This window comes from Homo sapiens, chromosome 6 (genome assembly GCF_000001405.40).
Source record: "Homo sapiens chromosome 6, GRCh38.p14 Primary Assembly".
Classification (NCBI taxonomy): Eukaryota; Metazoa; Chordata; class Mammalia; order Primates; family Hominidae; genus Homo; species Homo sapiens.
The window spans coordinates 144,998,423-145,002,632 of NC_000006.12; positions in this window are offsets into that span (position 1 = coordinate 144,998,423).

The window sequence follows — 4,210 nt, forward strand, 5'->3', positions numbered from 1 at the left end:
TGTCCACTGATGGACCAAGACACAGAGTCACATAGTATGGTCTTGACCAGCAGAGGGTTGAACAGAGTAGCAAGGCTAGAACTGGAAATGCTGACATCCTTTTGAGCCAGGCAGTCAGTGAAGAGAGGGCTGCAGAAAGAAGTTTTACCTGTAGCCCAGTGTTGCTAATAAAATGTTGAAAAACTATCTGAGGGCAGCCAGACCTGTTCCCACAAGTGATAGCTGGTTTTCATTTGGGGATCTTCACTTTGTGACAAGCCGGATTTCTATTTCCATCAGATAAAGGCTGGCAATAATGAACATCTTCCTGATAACTCTCATCACGGTTTTCCAAGGAGCTGAAAATGGTAATTAATGCAAAAGCTGTGTTTATTGGTTCGTGAAATTGAGTGCGTGCCATCCTTTGATACTGTGTCTCCTTGAAAGTGAACGTTTGGGAGGGGGTGGGAAACACACTGCACATTAAAGACTCAATTTATTTGACAAGATGCTACAACAAAGACAACCTCATGTATATGAAAATCCTGGCTCTTCCTTGCTTTGCCAAAGTAGAGTTGACAGAGCAAGGAACAAGTGTCTTCCCCATTCCCCTCCCTCCAGAGCTCCAACCCCCTCCTTCACATTGCTCTTAATAAGATAGCCACAAGTTTGGGATGACATTGTCTATTTCACTCTAGGACACAGTTTATACTTCATCCCCCCAACTCCACTTACTCAGAGTTCTTAGTAGGAGGCTGAGGCGAGCAATTTTGTCTGATGGATTCCTCAAGGCCCTCAAGGGGGCACCAAGGCATGGAGTGCTAGAAGATCCCTTATGCAGCAGAAGAAAATAGGAAACTGTGTTTAAGAGGAATTCTAGGACTGGGAGCCTCATAGTTGGAAGCTCCAAGTCTCCCTTTCCTTTCAGCATTTTAAGTTATGAGTTTTGGTTGTTGCCAAATCTGCATTTCCTAGGCTTTTATGATCAAATATTAGTCATAATGGGAGTGAAACAAATGCTGATGTGAGGCTCTAAGGAATCTTACACACACACACACACACACAAATACATATACACACATACTATGCACATGTACATCTCACACACACTATCTGCATGTAGAGCCATACCACGTATACATAAACCATCCACAAAACACAAAAACACAAATGCATGCATTCACATAGGTGCAAACACACTTATGCTACACAATATTACAAATACACGCATTACCCATGTGCACAAACACAAGGCACATAGCAAACATACACATTCACAACGATTCACACCCCCACACAGTACACTCGAATATGCTACAAATATACACATTGCATAATATCAGGCACACATATCACATGCCCAAACATACCTCTATGCCACACATATGACACACACACAAAGATACCCACTCCACTATGTACCACAATGTGGTTATCTCCTACACATTCCCCACAATACATATTCCATAATACACCTCCCAACATACCATATCATACATAACACTTACACAACCACCCATAGCCTGTGTCAGATGTGGCTCATGATCCACTACCCTAATGGTGGTAGGGTGAATAGGCCCTCAAGATGTCAGGTCCAGCCAGGCGCAGTGGCTTATGCCTGTAATCCCAGCACTTTGAGAGGCTGAGGTGGGTGGATCACTTGAGGCTAGGAGTTCGAGACCAGCCTGGCCAACATGGCAAAACTCCATCTGTACTAAAAATACAAAAAATTAGCCAGGTGTGGTGGAGGGCGCCTGTAATCCCAGCTACTTGGGAGGCTGAGGCAGGAGAATTACTTGAACCTAGGAGGTGGAGGTTGCAGTCAGCTGAGATAGTGCCACTGCACTCCAGCCTGGGTGACAGAGCGAGACTCTGTCTCAAGGGAAAAAAAAAAAAAAAAAAAAGGATGTCAGATCCTAAATCCTGGAACCTGTAAATGTTACCTTATCTGGAGAAATGTTCTTGCAGATGTGATTACTTTAAGGTACTTGAGATGGGGAAGACTATACTGAATTATTTGGGTGGGCCCTAAATGCAACTACATGTATCTTTATAAGAGGAAGGAGAGGGAGGGAACACACACATACACGAGGAGGAGGTAATGTGGCTGAAGAGAAAGATACCAGAGTCATGGGACCAGAAGCCAAGGAATCCTGGCAGCCATTGGAAACTAGAGGAAGAGCTGGGTTCTTTGAGCAGGCGTCTCAAAGTTTAGGTAAGCTTAGGCAAGAGTTGGAGACTTGGAGCAGAAATAATTGGAAAGAAACTTGAAGAATCTTGAAATCTGAGAACTTTTAGAATTGGAAAAAGCAGACGTTTTTGAACTTGAGACATTAATAATAATAGAAAGAAGTTCAAACAACAAAGACCCATTTGAAATTTTTAGTTAAACAGGAACCTTACTCTTGCAGCAAAGAACACATAAAGGATGTTTCCTCCCCACTCTGGTCTAATTTTTAGATGGCCACAAAGGAGCCACCAAAAAGATGAAAAAGAGTCATAAGGGCGAGAAAGCCGTGAAATTAAGCAGTGCTGAATTGTTCGTCAAAGGATCCTGGCACGTGGAGGTGAATAGAATCAACTGAATCAGAAATCTATTAAGATTTTTAGTAAATTGTATTGATAAAGTCATCACAAGCTGAGATTTTTAAAAACTGGCATTTATAAATCAGCCTGAAGGCTCCCAAATGACACCAGCAGAACACGGGTTGAAAAAGCAATGTAGGCTTCAAAGAGAACACTTCTCAATGCTTAGTTCAAATATAAAGATAATAGAAAACTCCCAGGGAACAGAACCAGGGGCCACAGAGAACTATTGACAAGATAAATAAAGCCAAAGCAGAATCAAAGCAATGGATGTCTTCCATTGCTAAGGCAAGGGGTCTATATTGTTTCTTCCTGCGAAGATTTCTTATGGCTGCAGACCACGGCTGCTAAGTAGCTCCCATTCTTCCCTCTACCCAAAAGAAATTTTAATTGGAATATAGGTCAGTGGCCCATGAGACAACACACACATCTGTCCCTGATGGAGAATGTTCTACACCGCCAGGCACAGTGATTGGATGGGACTTTAGGTCAACATCCTTGGAGAGGCAGTGAGGCATAAAGTGGGTGCTTTATGTGTGGGAAGAAGGCTATATCAGAGAGGCAGGCTGTGGCCGAGATAGCTGGATGCCAATGAATACTTGTACTTCCCTTTCCATACTGTAGCTTGGAGATGGTGCCTTGCCAGGGGCCACCATTACCAGTCTCAGCTGTTTCAAGTTGTGGTCATGTGATCAGTACTCACCAAGAAAATGTGAAAGGAAGAGATGTGTATCATTTCTGGTTTTAGAAGTGAGCATGCCTTCTCTGCCGTCTCTTTATCCTTCTGACTGGATGCAGTAAACCTGAGATCTGAGGAAATACAGAGCCATGAGATGGCAGGAGTGAGGGTCCCTGAATTACTGCACAAGAGGCAAACTTCCACCACCCAGCAACACTCACATTGGGCTATGACACAAGAGAAAGAAACATCTTTTTTATTAAGCTACTATATTGTAGGATTTATTTATTATAGCATTAGTATATTAGTATTAGTATATTATAGCATTAGCATTATTATAGCATTAATATCACACTAATGCATATATCATATGCACATACCACCTATACACACACACACACCACATACTACTCACAGCCACATACACATACATAAAACACACGTATTTTATTATGCCTCACTGGGAGCCTCAGGGACTTCTATGCTGTGCCAATACATGCACCAGAAGGTCCTTATATCCATGATGCTCTGGATCATTGAGGGGATAGTTATACTTAAGAGAACAAGTTATTGATTAACAGACTGATATTGCAGTTTGGGATTTGTTCAAAATACTTTGCTCTCTTGAATCTTCTTTCTTTGTAAAGGTCAAGAGCCCTCTTGCTATACATGAATATGGGTGGATGAGGAGTTGAAATAGAAGGAGGTTGTACTAGCTCATTTTCACCTGGCTATAAAGACATCCTGAGACTGGGTAATTTATACAAAAAAGAGGTTTAATTGACTCACAGTTCTGCACAGCTGGGGAGGCCTCAGGAAATGTACAATTATGGTGGAAGGAAAAGCAGGCATGTCTTACATGGTGGCAGGTGAGAGAGACAGCAGGGGAAACCACCACTTACAAAACCATCAGATCTCATGAGAACTCACTTGCTATCATGAGAACAGCATGAGGGAAACCACCTC